This window comes from Homo sapiens, chromosome X (assembly GCF_000001405.40).
Source record: "Homo sapiens chromosome X, GRCh38.p14 Primary Assembly".
In the NCBI taxonomy this organism is placed as follows: Eukaryota; Metazoa; Chordata; class Mammalia; order Primates; family Hominidae; genus Homo; species Homo sapiens.
In genome coordinates, this window is record NC_000023.11 from 100695873 (window position 1) to 100713704 (window position 17832).

Consider the following 17832-nt stretch of genomic DNA (forward strand, 5'->3'; position numbering starts at 1 on the left):
TGTTGATCTGCTTTCTGTCACTGCTTTCTAGTTTGTATTTTCTAGTTTTTATACAAACAGAACCATACAGTATGTACTCTTTACTGCTTGGCTTCTTTCACTCAGCATGATTATTTTGAGATTCATTCATGTTATTGCGTGTATCAATAGTTCATTTCTTTCCATTGCTGAGTAGTATTCCACCGTATAAACAAATCAGTTTATCCATTCACCTGCTGATGAGCATTTGGGTTATTTCCAGGGTTGGGCTATTACAAATAAAGCTGCTATGAACATTCACGTAGAAGTCTTTGTACAAACATACGTTTTCCCTTCTCTTGAGTAAGTACCCAGGAATGAAATGACTTAATCACAAGGTAGGTGCACAATGAACTTTTTAAAATACTGCTAAACTGCTTTTCAAAGTAGCTATGCCATTGTACATTCCCACCAGCAGTGTATAAGAATGCTAGTTGTTTATAATAGCAAGGAGGAAATGTAGAAAAGAAAATTTTTTTTAAATCCAGTTGTTTTACATCCTCACCAACAATTGGCATGGTCAGTCTTTTTAATTTTAGTCATTCTAATGGGTATGTAGTAGTATCTTATTGTGATTTTTAGGTCAAATTTATTTAATGACTAAAGATGTTGAGCACCTTTTCATGTGCTTATCTGACATCTCTATATTGTCTTTGGTGAAATGTCTGTTCAAATTTTTTGTGCATTTTCTATGGGATTGTCTGTATTATTGAGTTTTTAAAGTTCTTTTTCTTTCACTTTTTTTCACTTAACATGTTTATAGTATCATCCTTTAAAGAAAAAGAAATTAAAAACTTAGGAACCCAACCCATATATGTATATTTAGACAGCTTGGTAGTCCATATGCCAAAACTATTCACAACTATTAACGATAATTATCTGGGGAAGAAGCAGTGAGGTTACTGGAGGACTTACTTTATACATTTCTATGCTGTTTTTCAACAATCATATGAAACATGATAAAGTCATTTCCCTTTGGGTGAGTGAAAGTTAGGGGAAAAAAAAACCACACACACACCATACAAAAGCTAAAAATTCACCGCCACAACCAAATGAGTCAAAAATAAAGCCTCAAGTCACAGATTTCAAAAATCGCACCTAAGAAAACAGAAGATTTAATTCAGCAAAGCTCCTTAACTAATCCTTTCCAATGTAGCAATTTGCAGATTAAGTGAGTGAGTAGTCAAGAAAAACAGAAGTCCTCAAGATTTATAGCCCCAGGTACCACTGTAGAACCTCAACAGAGACAGACAAGACTGATGCAAAATGTCATCTCCCAGGGCACTGGTATGAGCTAGGGGATTAACCCAGATCTGGGACAGGTAAGCCCTGAACCAGGACATTTAAGAGAATTTCATGAGACCAAAACTCAGGACTCCAAGTTGCCTTCTGCACCTACCCCTTCAGGTTACAAGGAAAGAAATATAAAAAGCAATATTCAGTCCTTAAACTAAAGTACAGCTGGGAATGGGGAAAAGATAAATTGTTTCAAGTTAAGGTGAGAAGAACTCACATATGCTATATCAGAGGAAACAAAAGATACAGACAAAACTTCCCATATTAAAGTTCAGTAAAATGAAATAATAGTCTGGCAGATATATAAATAGCCATGAAGTGGAGAGAAATGAAAACAATTTGCAAGATGGATGAAGAACCGAGTCTGGAGAAGAATTTAACCCTAGGAAAACAAGTAGGTTTCATGTGAGTGCTTTACACTACAGGGGAACTAATAATATAAATTCAATAAAGTGCAAGAATTCAAATACAAGATGATAAAACAAAATGAGAGAAAGAAGATTAGAGCAAAGAACAAATCAAAACCTAAATAAGATAATTTACTCAAATAATTAAATTAGAAGCAGCAAAAAGTAAGGAAGGGAGGGGAAAAGGGGTAGGGGAGGGAAATAAACTGAAAACCAAATTAATAGCATGGAGGAATGGGTTGGGCTAATCACAGTTAATTGCTTTCACCATTTTTCCTATTCCATTCGCTAGTAAAAGAAAATGACAAAAATAGAGGATAAGAAAATCCAGTATCTCTGAGGTGGAGAACTTAAATAATAAAACAGAAAGAAAAAGAGTTCTGAGACATGATACAGAAAAATTTTCCAGCAATGAAGAAAGAACTCATCAAGGATATATCACATATAGGGAAAAATGATACAGAATGATCACCATTGAGTTACAACCTTGTTAAATTACTAAACTTTTTTTTTATTTTTTATTTTTTGAGATGGAGTCTTGCTCTGTTGCCCAGGCTGGAGTGCAGTGGAGCAATCTTGGCTCAGTGCAAGCTCCGCCTCCCGGGTTCACGCCATTCTCCTGCCTCAGTCTCCCCAGCAGCTGGGACTACAGGCGCCTGCCACCACGCCCGGCTAATTTTTTTGTATTTTTATTAGAGACGGGGTTTCACCGTGTTAGCCAGGATGGTCTCGATCTCCTGACCTTGTGATCCGCCCGCCTCGGCCTCCCAAAGTGCTGGGATTACAGGAGTGAGCCACTGTGCCCAGCCCTTAAATTACTAAACTTCAAGAAAAAGAAAAGAAAATTTTCAGGCAAGTCCAATCTCTCTCCCTTTCTCTTTCTCTTTCTCTCTCTCTCTCATCCATAAGAAAGAAAGACAAGGGCCAAGATGTCCTCAGACTTCTTCACAGTTACATTCAATGGAAGAAGACAATGGAACAATGTCTACAACATTCTGAGGGAAAGAAAATGTGGCCCAAGAATATAATATCCAGCCAAGATACCATTCAAGTATAAAGGCAGCTGGCAGACATTCTTAACATGTAAGAATACAATAAATATAGCACCTGCAAGCTCTTCTTGAAGGACCTCCTCAATGATGAAATCCAGAAAACCAAGAAATAAATCAGAAATAGAGAAGTTGTGGTATAAGGCCTGGTTGTAAGCATACAATCCTTTTAAGTATAAAACTAAAAGGAAACAAACAGATAAAACAAACAGATGGTTTATGGTTATATAAGAGAATGTAAATATTATAAACCCTGACAAAGGAAAAATAATTTGAGTAACAAATAGTGGGGATAGAAGAAAATAACCGGGGGGAAGTGTAAGAAAGCTAACTGCTTCCTCTTTCACAGCAAAGCGCCCACTGATAATGTTAAATATTGAAACAGGCAGATTTTTAAAATGACGGCTAACTCCAAAGTATCCACCTTAGAAAAATGAAAACAGGCCAGGCATGGTGACTCACACCTGTAATCCCAACATTTTGGGAGACCAAGGCAGGTGGATCACTTGAAGTCAGGAGTTCAAGACCAGTCTGGCCAACATGGTGAAACCCCGTCTCTACTAAAAACATGAAAATTAGCTGGGCTTAGTGACGCGTGCCTGTAATCCCAGCTACTCAAGAAGCTGAGGCAGGAAAATCGCTTGAACCTGGGAGGTGAAGGTTGCAGTGAGCCGAGATGGCGCCACTGCACTCCAGCCTGGGCAACAAGAGCGAAACTCCGTCTCAAAAGAAAAGAAAAGAAAAAGAAAAGAAAAGAAAAAAGAAAAGAAAAGAAAAAAAAAGAAAAGAAAACATACATCCACACAAAACTCTTAATGAATGTTCATAGCAGCATTACTCTTTTTTTTTTTTTTTTTTTTTTTTTGAGACGGAGTCTCACTCTGTTGCCAGGCTGGAGTGCAATGGCGCGATCTCGGCTCTCTACAACCTCTGCCTCCCAGGTTCAAGTGATTCCCCTGCCTCAGCCTCCCGAGTAGCTGGGACTACAGGTGCGTGCCACCACACCTGGCTAATTTTTTTTTTTTTTTTTTTTGGTAGAGATGGGGTTTCACCATGTTGGCTAGGATGGTCTCGATCTCCTGACTTCATGATCCACCCGCCTCAGCCTCCCAAAGTGCTGGGATTACAGGCGTGAGCCACTGCGCCTGGCCCAGCATTACTCTTAATAACCAAAAAGTAGAAACAACCCAAATGTTCTTCAACAGATGAACAGATAAAATGTGATAAATACATATCATGGGGTATTATTTGGCTATAAAAAGGAATGAAGTTCTGATACATGCTATAACATGGATGAACCTTGAAAACGTTAATGTTAAGTGAAAGAGGCAAGTCAAAAAGGACCACATATTGTATGATTCAATTTACATGAAATACCCAGGATAGGCAAATACAGAGAGACAGAAAGTAGATGAGTGATTGTTTAGGGATCAGGGAGGGTGACAGCTAAAAGGGTAAAGGGTTTCTTTTTGAGGTGATGAAAATTTTCTAAAATTGATTCAAGGGATGGTTGCAAAACTCAGTGAATATACTAAAAACTATTGCATTGTACACCAAAAATGGACAAATTGTATAGTATGTGAATTATATATATCTCAATAAGGCTGTTACCAAAAAAACTCCACTAAAAAAGTGACCAACTGCTCAATGGCTTTCATAATATTTTTTCTTAAGCTTAGAGGAATGTTAACAACTAATATCTTTTACTTTAAAAAAACATTTGTCTGAAGATTAGCTATTCTTTCATTTTATTTCAGTGTTTTATTCTGTTAAATTCAAGTAAAATTAAATAGGATGATTTTAATTTATTATACTATGATCTAATATTAAAAAGATTTTTCAGTTTATCCATCCAGTCAACCCGTTATGTATATACATAGAAGATATACGAAATAATTTTCACATAATGTGAAAACTGGGGTAGTAGGAATGTGGGTGATTTGTTGCTTAATAATGAGCATGTGTTATTTTTATTTGTCTTCAAATTGTTCGTATAAAGAACAAACTATTCAACCTGAGAAAGCGAATGCAAACTATAAAAAATAAAGAACTAAGTAAATATACCAAAATGTTAATGTCTACATATGAGTAGTGGGATTAGGAATGATTTTTTCCCTCCTTTACTATTTTCTGTACTTTTCAAGTTTTCCTATAATGAACATCTATTATTTTATAAACAGAAGAAGTAAAAAGAATAGTAAAAGAATTAAAGGGATATTGTAAGCATTTCTTTAAACAATTACTTGATTCTTACCTGGGCTCCTTCTGCCGCTCCTGAATGATCTTTCTTCCTGGCCAGATGTCACCCATCTGTGTCTGATGAAGGAGGGACTGTCCCACTGTCTCTCTTTTACTCACTTCAAGACAAAGAAAAGTATGCCAGGGTGGTGGTTATGAGTAGGGGAAAAAGGAAACAACCCTCATAGCAAATCCCCTGAAATACACCATGCTTGCAGAAGGGATGACAATACAATCTTCTATTCTCCACTAACTGGCTGAGCCCATGGAGTTAAGATGCTACCAGTCAGAATACACTAGGATTCCATACCAAGAACCATCTCTAGACAGGTCCAGTACCTGCAGGTTTGTGGCGCAGGGACATCCTGATTATCTCACTACCTGTGCGGTAAGCAAAGCGATTCACTTTCTGGTCATAAAACCAGTCCCCAGTTGCTTTCTTCAACTCTCTGGGAAGAAATAAAAGAAAATGACAGATGGATAAAGAATGGTTCTTGTCTAATAAAGGCTGAGGAAAGAAATTCTCACCACGGCCAAGGCCTCGCCCCCTCTCTACTCAGCCATAGGTGACACTCACATTTCCTTGGCGCACACCTTGCACCTCCAGGTACCATTGCTTTCCTGTATGCGGCAGTCCCGACACACCAGGTGATTACAACCCCGACAAGTATTGGTTTTGGGACTCAAACGGCCCAGGCTCTCCTGGCACCGGGCACAGGTCCGATCACTGTAGTGTTGGCTGCCCCTCTTGGCCCCTTTCCTTTTTATCTCCAGTAACTCATTCTTTAGTCGCCTGCCAAGACCCAAAACAGAAGCGTAAGTGGATTCAGGATATGCATAGATTGGATGGAGAGGGGTTGAGAGGTAAAGACAGTAAGACTATTTGGTTCTGTGGAAGCAACAAACTCAGAGCCCAGCGTGACCCAATAAGTAGTGGTAAACATCACATATACAAATTCCTATGAAAGTCAGGTGGGAGACATAAGGAAAAGCCCAGACATCATTGGTCAAAGGCCTGGGACCCCATGCGTTTTGGGGAACTCTTACCTAATCCTTTTCTCATCTGCTTTCCGGACCTCTTCATCTCGCTGTAGAACACTGAGAATCAAATCCTTTTCCTCCTCAGACAGAAAAGAAAGGTCCAGTAACTCCGACATGATTTACTCAACTTTTTCTTCTACTCTTCTTTCTTCAAAACAACCAGACAAGGAGAGCTACCAGAGTTGCCTGAAATGACAAAAGAACTAATTTCACACAGATGATTTACTCAAGAATAGGCCCACAGCCCTAAACCCTTTCAATAGGTTCCTTTCCCCTTGAGCCAAGCTAAAGAGACAAAGTAGAAGTATCTGACCTATTTAGTCTTCCTACTCCCATCCGAAACATGCCCTGAAAATGAAGAGTCCTTGATTTTTCAGAAAGAAAAAGTTATTCGTGACTCTGGGAAAAGGATTGGTTATTCAGTATATGCATCTTAGTCTGGAAAGAACATAGAACAGCTGAGTCAATCTCCCCCTCCACCAAGTGAGTCCTCAATCATCCAATTTTTAATACTTTAAATGTTCTCAAATCTCAAGCCTATTAACCCAAATAACCAGGCAGCTGGTCTCTGCAGTGAAGGAGAAAAGCACATGAAGGCTCCTGCCAGTTTAAGCCCAGTTGTCTATTCCTAACCAGCTTCCATTCTCCCAGGAGTCAGTCAGCTTTCTGCTATACTTCAAAACTTCCACCCCCTACTCTATCTCTCAAAGTTCTTATCATACTAGCACTCTAGCACTACCTCCAGGATATCTTTCCCAAATTCATGAACACTTGTTGAGCACTACGCTGACAGGCATTGTGTAAAGTGCTGGGGATACAAAGATGAGTAAGGCACAGTTCCTACCCTTATGAAAATCACAGAGTAGCAGGGGAGACAGACACACATAAATACAGTACAACGCATTAAGTGCTATCAGAGGGATTATAAGGGACTATAAATTAAGTGCTATGAGAACTTAGGGAAGAAAGCAACTCATTCTATCTTGCATAGAGAGAGGAAAGAGAGCAGTATACATGGGAAATTTCACAGAAGAGGTGGATTTTGCCTTATCAGAGGACAAATTTCCTGGTAGGGAAGAATGGTAGGAAAGATAGTTTGGGACCAGATTACATAACTCTTAAAAACTTTTTTAAAATTTTAAGAATTTTGGCTCAGCATGGAGGCTCTCACCTGTAATCCCAGCACTTTGGGAGGCTGAGGCAGGAGGATCTCTTGAGCCTAGGAGTTCAAGACCAGCCTGGGCAACACAGGGCGACTCAGTCTCTACAAAAAGAAAAATCAAAACTTAGCTAGCCATGATGGTACACGGCTGCATTCCCAGCTACTCGGGAGGCTGAAGTGGGAGGATTGTTTGAGCCTGTGAGGTTGAGGCTACAGTGAGCTGAGATCACGCCATCACATGTGGCCCACTCTAGCCTGGGCAACAAAGCAAGATCCTGTCTGGAAAAAATTTTTTTTAATTTTAAAATTTACTGCATAGACAATAGAAATCCACCAAACATCTCTGATGTTGCTTTTTGATGCTGGGAAATCACATGATGAAATTCACTTTACAAAGACATATTATAGCTATATCGCTCTAGTTATAATATGAAAGACTGATTTAGAGGACAAATCAGAGGACAATTTGGTAGTACATACATTTAAAATAGGCATATACTTAACCAAGCAATATGACTTCTAAGAATTTACCTAATAGAAATATTCATACAAATGCACAAGCAAGAGTATATGCACAAGACTATTACTGCAACATTATTTGTAAGAACAGAAACAGTTATTTAACATAGGAATCATTAAACAAAATAATATGTCCCCATAATGGAACATTATGTCGCCATTAAAAATGTGGTAGATACACACGTACTGACATAAAAATATGGCCATGAGTGAAAAAGTAGTTGTAGGACAATAAAAAATGATCTTTTATAAAGAATTTATCTAAATATTTGTATATGCAAAGAGAAAGGTCTAGAACAAAAGCCACTATCATTGGTTTCCCTTGGGGAGTAGAATTGGGAAGGGGCAACTTTCACTTTTTACTTCACATAGTTCTAATTTGTTTTTACATATATCTTCCATTTATATCTCAAAAAAGAAAACAATACAAATGAGGCAGAGATATTATTACAATACTGCAGCAAAAGACAATCTAGATTTACTAACTGTGCCTCTAAACAATTAGACCAGTCATTTTATTTTTCATTTCATTTTATTTTTCATTTTTAGAGACAGAGTTTCACTATGTTGCCCAGCCTGGACTCAAATTCCTGGGCTCAAGTGATCTTCCTGCCTCAGCCTCCCAAGTAGCTGGAACTATAGACAGAGCCACCGTGCCCAGCAGAAGTCATTTTATTTCTGACTCTTTGGTTTCTCATCTACAAAACGACCCACCTCAAACGTTGTTTAAAAAATTAAATAATGTGTGTTAAAGGGCCAATCACAATGTTTGGAGTACAAATACTTGCTGAATCTTCTAAAATGATAAAGGCCTGAGCCAGGCAGCAAGAAAAAACAGAATAGGTTTGAGAAGTAGAATTGACAGAATAGGGAGACTGACTGAGCAGAGAGGATGAAGAAGGTGAAGTCAAAGATGCCTAGTTCACAGTCAAGATTAAACAACTGACTGGCTAGTGACAGCCCTCATAGCAATAGAAGATGTAAGGAAAGAAACAGGTTTGGAAGTAAGGCAAAAAGTTTTGTTTTAACCCTATTAAGTTAGTGTTGCATACTTGATATCCAGGTAACTGGGCCCAGGAAATAGTTGGAGACACAGGGCTGGACCTCAGGAAGAAAAAATGTATCTGATAATATACACTTGGTAGTCATGGGAGTCAAAGAGCCCAAGGTAGACAGAGAGTGAAAAAGGAAATGAGAATCACACTTACCTTCTCTCCTCTCCTTTGAAACTAGACAACACGCCTCTTTCACTTTATTTTTTCTTTTTCTTTTTTTACTAGTTCCCTACAAAACAGTGGAGAACATAAACAACACGGCAAAGCTATACAGGTTCCTGAAACCTCAATATTTCCTCAACTTGTATATTTCCTGGTCTTTATTGAACTATAAGATGTTAAGCCTCTTGCACACACCCTTTCTTAGACAGTCTTGAGGAAGTGTTCTTAGTTCTTATCCCCAAGGAGAATATATACCCTCCATGAAAACAAGGACTTTTTCAATCTTCTCCTCTGTATCTGCCCTAGCACTTAATGCAATATCTGGTACGCAATTTTGCATATGCTGCCAATATTGCAATCACTGTCATTGTCACCCCAACAGTATCTTTTATTGAGAATTGACTATACGCCAAACAAGTACCTAACATATATTAACTAATTTAATCCTTGCCACAATACCAAGAATGAGTGACTATTATTACCCCCATTGTATAGATTAGGATTCAGGAGAGGTTAGGCTAACTTGCCCAAGAATAAAGAGCAAGTAAGTGAAATTGCAGGGATTCAAGCCCAGGCAATCTGATACCAGAGTTGGTGCTCTACAGGCTCAGTCTAGGCAGAATTATAACCAAAGCAACTATAAAGTACTAAACAGACAAATCAAAAGCATTGTGGAAATGAATTCCCATATGTGTGATTACGGCTGAAACACTGCGCAAAAAAATCAGTGGCTCCTGGATAAAAGAGGTATTATCAGTTACCTGTCAGCTAAAAAGCAAGGATAGCACAGGCACACTAGAAATGAGAACCATATCAGATTTAAAAACTGGTGCTTGTGGAGAGGCAGCAGAATATTGTGATGAGAAAGGCACGTTGGCATAATAATGAGACCAAGTAATATCAAAATCCAGGGAAGTAAGAAGATCCTTGAGGAAATAAAGATAGTATCTTAAGAAAATGGAACTACCAATATTGTACATCTGCCCTTTCTTTTTCATTTATGGACCTGACCAACCAGAACTGCCCCCTCTGAAATCTTAAATTCAAGAATTCCCACTTTCCAACCACAGCTCACTCCTGCTCTATCTGTTCTTCAACTTTATCAAGACCACAGTCTCTTGAGCCCCACATTGTCTCTTGGTCCACTTGCCTTCTGCTGATCTATCTTCCCCCCATACCCATCCTGGACTCCAGATGGCTCAACATTTGAACCACTCTCACCAGTACCTTCCATATCCATATACCTTCATCCCTCTGCCACAACTGCCCATGAAAATCCCAAACCTGTGCTAATGCTCTAGCCTGCCTTGTCTGCTCCTATACCCAGGTTCTACATAATTCCTGGTCTACAACCTCAGCTGAACCCTCATTGTCACCCATAAATTCTGTTACTTATGCTTGTTCAATTCCTTTACCTAGTCCCTTTGGGTTCTATTCAAGCCTTCATTCATCTCACACTCCCACTTCCCTTCCCTCCAGTCCCATCAGACATGCTTGTCTCATACTTGTAAAAAGGTTTTTGTAAGACCATCAGACATGGACTCTATCAGCTCCCTGCCTCCTCTTCCCCATCACTTGCCAATCTGACTCCTTTCAGAAAAGCCATATCCCACCCCAAGCCCCACCTTCCACCATAGGTTGCTGTTGTTTCCAACACTAACCCTGTTAACAGCCAGCTTGTTTGCAATGGGATCTTGCAGAATCAGTAATGAGGAGCAGAAAACAAATTAAGAACAAAAATTAAAAGGCAAGAAGACAAAGGTAAGTGCAGAAAAAACTGAGACAAAGAGAAAACAAAAGGTAAAATGGTAAAAACAAGTTCAAGTATATCAATGAATATGAAACTCATATATGAGCAAAATTCACCCTTTGAAATACAGGAATTAACAGACTGGATAAAAGGAAAAAATCCAGTTATGTGCCATTTATGAGAGACACATCTAAAACATAAATTGAAGGGAAAATTGAAAGTAAAAAGATAGGAAAAGATATACCAGGTAAATGCTAGCCAAAAGAAAGCTGAGGTAGCTATATTAATATCTAAAAGTAAAAAAGACAATAAAAGCTTTATAAAGGTTAGATAAGATCACTACATAGAGATAATAAATATGCACCCACTAATAAAACATCACTAAATATACAAAGGAACAAAAGAGAGAAATTGAAAAATCAACCATCAAAATGAGAGGTTAACATATACTTCTTTGTTGTTGCAATTATGAATGGTACAAGCAGATACAAACTAGTAAATATATAGACAAGTTGAACAACAAAATGAGCTTGATTTAATAGGAATACAAAAAAAGTCTATATCCAACTGGAGAATTACATTATTTTCAAGCACATATAGAATATTTACTCCCAAAACTGACCATGTACTAGGCTGTAATGCAAGTCTGCATAATTTTTTTAAAAAATCCTTCCCATACAGACCAGTCTCTGACTTCGAGGAAATTAAATTAAATAAGAAATCAATTTAAAATAAGGTAATTTCTTATCACAATACTTTTTTTTAAAATTTATAAAGACACTTCTAAATAACCCACATGTCAAAGAAGAGATCATAATGGTACTAAATCTATCCTTAACATCTTAGAGGAAAATACCTGCCTCCTACCTCACTACCATCACTACTCCCCATACTATGGCATAGAATGTTCTCTAGAAATTCAAAAAGGAAAATATGAAAGAAAAATACAGCTTTCATATGCAATAAACCAAGTGATATATTTTTATGGTAAATAGTACATCATATTTTGAAAACTAGAACTCAGGAAAATAATGGAGGCACAAATACAGTTATAATAAGAAAACCAGATAGATGTGAAGTTAGAAAAGCTATGACTAATCGGATACTCCCAATTTATGGCTACTAGGGTTTAATAGAGAAACCAAAGCCCAAGAAAACTTAAGACCCTTCATTACATTCAGTCCCAGGTGTACAGTCAAAAAGGCAAGATTATCTATTGAGAAGACCACGGCTCAGGTAACATGAGTGTCAGAATCTGAGCTCAGATGGACAACTTGTTCTGTGTTAGTCCTGAGGTGTCAAGACTCAGATGAAGTATCTTAATATAGCATCCTTGTGGGACCCATGCCCATAAAAATATATTTTAGAAAAGGTGGTTTGTATCATTCTCAGCAAACTATCACAAGAACAGAAAACCAAACACCGCATGTTCTCTCATAAGCGGGAGTTGAACAACGAGAACACATGGACACAGGGAGGGGAACATCATACACCGGGGCCTGTCGGGGGTGGGGGGCTAGGGGAGGGATAGCATTAGGAGAAATACCTAATGTAGATGACGGGTTGATGGGTGCAGGAAACCACCATGGCACGTGTATACCTATGTAACAAACCTGCACATTCTGGTATCCCAGAACTTAAAGTATAATAAAAAAAATTAAAAAAAAGAAAAGATGGCTTACTTAGCAATTATACATATTTACTACTAAAAAATGAGGATAATATGTTAATGCAAATACTTACAAAACCAAAGGAAAAACTAAATCTACCATAAAAATGGGAAGTTACCATACCTCTCTCAATTACTGATAGTATAACAGATGAAAAATTAGTAAATATGTAGACAAGGTGAACAACACAATAAGCTTGATCTAAAGGACATATGTAGAATTCCATATCCAACTAGATATATCCAGTCTATATCCTAATCCTAATGATTGAGAAATAATAACAATGAATGAAAATAAACACTAACACAACTGGTTTTCAAGAAGGGGATGGGTGAGCTATCTCAAATTATTTCAAATTCTAAAGACCAATTTTAAAAATGAAAAGCTAGGCAAAACTTGACAGGAAGCATAGAATAATGAAAATAGTGGTGAAAGACAGACTTGGGTTCAAATCCTAGCTCTGCTATTTTTAGCTATATGACCTTGGGCATGAGACTAGAATATTAAAAAGATGACTAAAATATAGAATTCCTTGTAAGAATAGTACTCAGATTAAAAGTAATCATTGGTGTTCCCAAAATGAAAACTGATGTGAATTAGGAAGACACAAGTAATGTCCCTGCCCTGGACAGCAAATACAACAGATTTTGCTGTGTTGCATGCAGGCCACACATAAAAGTGAAGATGGTAATATATGGTACTTATGCTCAAACTAGAAACATCTACCAGACGTAACCTCTTTGAAGGTAGGTACTATATCTGGATATCATAGCCCCAGGAGCTTGGCACAGTGTGTGACACACAGTATGAGTTCAACAAAAGTCTAGTGAATGTCTTTACCCAGAAATCTATCTGTGTTTACATGTTTAAACTTAAACCCATGGAAATTGAAGAGCTGTAATAGAGCTGAGAGAAAAATGTTTTTGTTTTCCTGAGGCAGTGTGTGAGCTGTGGTTAAAAGCTTGGACTCTGGGCCAGGTGGGTGGCTCACACCTGCAATCCCAGCATTTTGGGAGGCTAAGGCGGGTGGATCACTTGAGGCCAGGAGTTTGAGGCCAGCCTGGCCAACATGGTGAAACCCTGTCTCTACAAAAAATACAAAAAAAAAAAAAAATTAGCCAGGCATGGTGGCTTGCGCCTGTAGTCCCAGATACTCAGGACGCTGAGGCAGAGAATGGCTCGAACCTGGGAGGCGGAAGTTGCAGTGAGCCAAGATGGTGCAACTGCACTCCAGCCTGGGCGACAGAGTGAGACTCTGTGTCCATAAAACAAACAAACAAAAAGCTTGGAATTGAGCCAGACTGCCTGAACTTGAATCCCAACTTCCACATTTACTAGCTGTGTGACCTTGGGTAAGTTACTAATCCTCTCAGTACCTCAATTTCCTCACTTGCAAAATGAAGATAAAAATTGTACCTATCCTTTGGGGCTTGTTTTTATAAAGATTAAATGAGTTTTTAAAATACGTAAAGTGCTTAAAGTAATGAGAACACAAAGAATGCTAAGTGTTACCTATTTTTGTCAGTTTGTATATGTTCATTTGTGCTTTCGGACTTAACTAGGTCTTAGAAAATGACATTTATTTTCTTTTAAAGAATGCAGATGAATTGTGAGTTAAACTGTCTAGACGTCAGTTAAAGTTTCAGGCTATTGTTATTGTTCTTTAAATTTTTTTATTTCAATAGCTTTTGGGGTACAAGTAGTTTTTGGGTACATGGATGAATTTATAGTGATTAATTTTAATGCATTAATCACAGGCCACTGTTTTTGAAGTGAGGAACCATGCTGACAGCCTTATAGATGACAGAAGATTTTCTTAAAAATTGACCCATGCTCAAGGGCCAAAAGGCTGAACTGATATTAAATTATTCTCTAAAGTTATAAGTAGTAATTATATGATGGTTTTGCAAATACATTCTAATGGATTATCATATCCTGCCAAAGTGATGTAATAAAAGTATTTTGCTGTTTAGGCTAAGGACAATGGACAATACCTCACTGAACATGAAAAAGTGAACCAGAGTCTTTCAAAATATATTCATTTAACCAAGAAGCCTGAATTAAACTGCTCTTTTTAAAATGATACTATGTTTTACACCGAAACTGATCAATGAGTTTTATACTGATGTGAGATTTATACTGCTGCATGCCAGATTCTGTATACTTTTGAACATGGGTATTCAGAACTGATTTAGCTACGTCAAGAAATGTGATGGTGTCTACACTTTTTTCGAAAGATGAGAATTTAAATTGGGCTACAAATTTTAATTGGTCATAATTGGAGATTATAAAATGTCAAGGTGGAATGAATTTCCACCCTGCCTGAAACAATAACAACAACAACAAATGTACCAAATACATGAAACAATGGTTTTCAAATCACTGAACATCAGGCAATGAAGGATTATGATTTCTGAGATGGAAAACACATAAGGTGAGCCCTTTGATTTTCCCAGCTTACTGTCTTAAGAGAATTTCCAGATAATGGTACAGAAAGGAAGAACCCAGGTAGAGCCTAGTGAACTCCCTGAGTTCTGGAGACAGAGCTGAGAGTCTGGGAAAAAAACCAGGTAGCTGGAGTTCATAGGACAGAGGACCTGAGAGAGCTCCACAGAAAGAGAAAGAGATCTTCAGAGGCCTGCAGAAGGTTTCACTCAAGTGTTTAGCAAAGGACTGATTAGCCCATGGTATGCCTGTGAGGAAATTACTCTAGGCCAGGGAAAGAACTACCTGAAAGGATTCAAAAGAACAATGCCTGTCACTCACACAGGGCTAAGAATAGTGCCTGTTTCCGCCAGCCAAATTGGAAAACGTCATGATTCACGGGACACTAGCTGAAGGACTCAGAAGGGTCTTGCCTCAGTAGTGGGAAATAGCCCAGATTATGCACTGCTCTGGTCCTGCCTAACAAATCTAAACAGCAAAACCTGAAAGGGTCACTCTGTATCCAAGTAATTTAAGGGCATCCCAGAACAGAGAGCAAGTATACTTATAGTAATACAAAAATATGCAGTACTCAACAAGGTCAAATTCATAATATTTGGTACCCAGTAAAAAACTAACAGGCATGCAAAAAAGCAAGAAAATATGATCCATAATAATGAGAAAAATCAATCAAAAAGACCAAGAACTGACACAAATGTTAGAATTAGTAAACAAAGTCATCAAAGCAGTTATTATAACTGCATTCTATATGTTCAAAAAGCTAGGCAGGGGACATGGGAGATGTAAAAAGACTCAAATCAAACCTATGGATAAAAGGTACAATGTCTGAGATGAAAAACACACTCGTTGGGATTAACAGCAAATTGGACATTACAGTAGAAAAGAGTTAAGAACTTGAAGACATAGCAATAGAAATTATTCAAAATGGAACACAGAAAAAACTGAAAAAAAGAAAAAGGAATTAATGAGCTATGGGACAACATCAAGCTACCTTCTATACATGTCATTGATGTCACCAAAAATAATGGCCCAAATTTGGTGAACACTATAAACTCACAGATCCAAGAAGCTCTATGAACATAAAGCACCAGAAACATAAAGAAAAATATACCATGTGGCACACCATAAATTGCTTAAAACCAGAAACAATGGGAAAATCTTAAAAGAAGCTAGAGTGGTGGGGTGGGGTGGGGTTGGGGTCTTGGGGAAGGACACATTATATATATACAGATGAACAAAGATAATGATAAAAGCAAATTTATCATTGGAATCAATGCAAGTGTAAAGACAGAACAACCTCTCTAAAATACTGAAAGAAAAAAAACAACCATCAACCTAGATAGAATTCTACACCCAGCAAGATATCATTCAAAAACAGAGGTGAAATAAAGACTTTTTCAGACATGCAAAAGTTGAAAGAATTAATCACCAGCAGACCTGCACTATAAAAAGTGTTAAAGGAAGTCCTTGAAGCAGAAAGAAAATGGTACTGCACAGAAATATAGGTTTACAAAAAGGGATACAGAGCACATGCAATGGTAACAATGTAGGTAAAAATACTTTTTTCTTATTATTTAAATCTCTTTTAAAATATAATCGACCGTTTAAAGGAAAAATAACGATATATTGTGAGGTTCAAAACATATGGTAGAACAAAGCGGAAACTTAACCTGATTTTAAGAGACACTATAAATCCACAGTAATCAAGTCAATGTGGTACTGGGCAGGAAGACAGACAAATAAACGAACAGAATAGAGAGTATGGAAATAAGCCCTCATGTTTATAGTCACTTGATTTTTTAAATAAAGGTTAAGGGAAGTTTAGTGGAGAAATGGCAGTCTTTTCAACAAGTAGTGCTGGAAAAACTAGATATCCATATGAAACAAAAAAAGCAAGCATTTCTGACATGACACGTAAAACGTGATCCAGAACTTGATAAATTAGGCTTCATCAAAATTTAAAACCTCTGCTTTGTAAGAACTTTATTAGAAAATAAAAAGATAAGCAGTATACTGGAAGAAAATATTTGCAACTAGTATATCTGATAAGGACTTATATCCAGCATATATAAAGAACTCTCAGAACTCTACAATATTTTTAAAAACACAAATTTAAAAAATAGACAATGATATGAATAGACAAAAGATATGAATAAACATATCACCAAAGAAGATATACAAATAGCAAATAAACACATGAAAACATGATCAACATCATTAATCATTAGGGAAATGCAAACTAAAACCACAATGAGATATCACTACATACTTATTAGAATGACCAAAATTTAAAATGCACCAAATGTTGGCCGGCATTTGAAGCAACTGGAACTCTCATACACTACAGTGGGAATGTGAAATGGTATAGCCATATTGGAAAACAGCTTAGCAGTTTCTTAAAAAGTTAAACATATATCTCCCATATGACCCAGGCTTTCCACTTTTGGTATTTATCCAAGAAAAGCAAAAGCATACGTAGGCCGGACGTGGTGGCTCACACCCACAATCCCAGCACTTTGGGAGGCCAAGGTGGGCGGATCGCTTGAGGTCAGGAATTTGAAGCCAGCCGATCAACATGGTGAAACCCCGTCTCTACTAAAAATACAAAAAATTACCCAGGTGTGGTGGCAGGCACCTGTAATCCCAGCTACTTGGGAGGCTGAGGCAGGAGAATAGCTTGAACCAGGGAGGTGGTGGTTGCAGTGAGCTGAGATCGTGCCACTATACTCCAGCCTGGGCAACAAGAGGGAAACTCCGTCTCAAAAGAAAACAAAAACAAAACTTAGCTGGGTGTGGTGGTGCATGCCTGTAATCCCAGTTACTTGGGAGGCTGAGGTGGGAGAATCGCTTGAACCTGGGAGGTGGAGGTTGCAGTGAGCCAAGATTGCGCCACTGCACTCCAGCCTGGGCAACAGAGTGAGACTTTGCCTCAAAAGGGGGAAAAAAAAAAGCATATGCCTACACAGATTTGCATGGAAATGTTAACAGCATTATTGGTAATAGCCCAAATCTGGAAACAG

General features: G+C 37.8%; 1 protein-coding gene across 19 annotated transcripts in view; it reads right to left on the reverse strand.

Annotated features, from left to right (window-relative positions):
• The window catches only part of SYTL4 (synaptotagmin like 4), a 57631-nt gene that overhangs the window by 21382 nt on the left and 18417 nt on the right, over nt 1–17832 (reverse strand). For 5 of the 19 annotated variants that reach the window (NM_001129896.3, XM_017029967.3, NM_001370160.1 and 2 more), the window contains 5 exons: nt 7221–7313; nt 6056–6235; nt 5586–5801; nt 5348–5457; nt 5025–5127 (listed from right to left, as the gene is read on the reverse strand). In NM_001129896.3, the coding sequence (NP_001123368.1) occupies nt 5025–5127; nt 5348–5457; nt 5586–5801; nt 6056–6165 (539 nt within the window). In that variant the 5' untranslated portion in view covers nt 6166–6235; nt 7221–7313. Of the gene's footprint in view, nt 1–5024; nt 5128–5347; nt 5458–5585; nt 5802–6055; nt 6236–7220; nt 7314–8938; nt 9015–17427; nt 17571–17832 lie in introns of all 19 variants that reach the window. The other 14 variants (NM_001370161.1, XM_017029968.2, NM_001370163.1 and 11 more) reach the window with 5 other exon arrangements.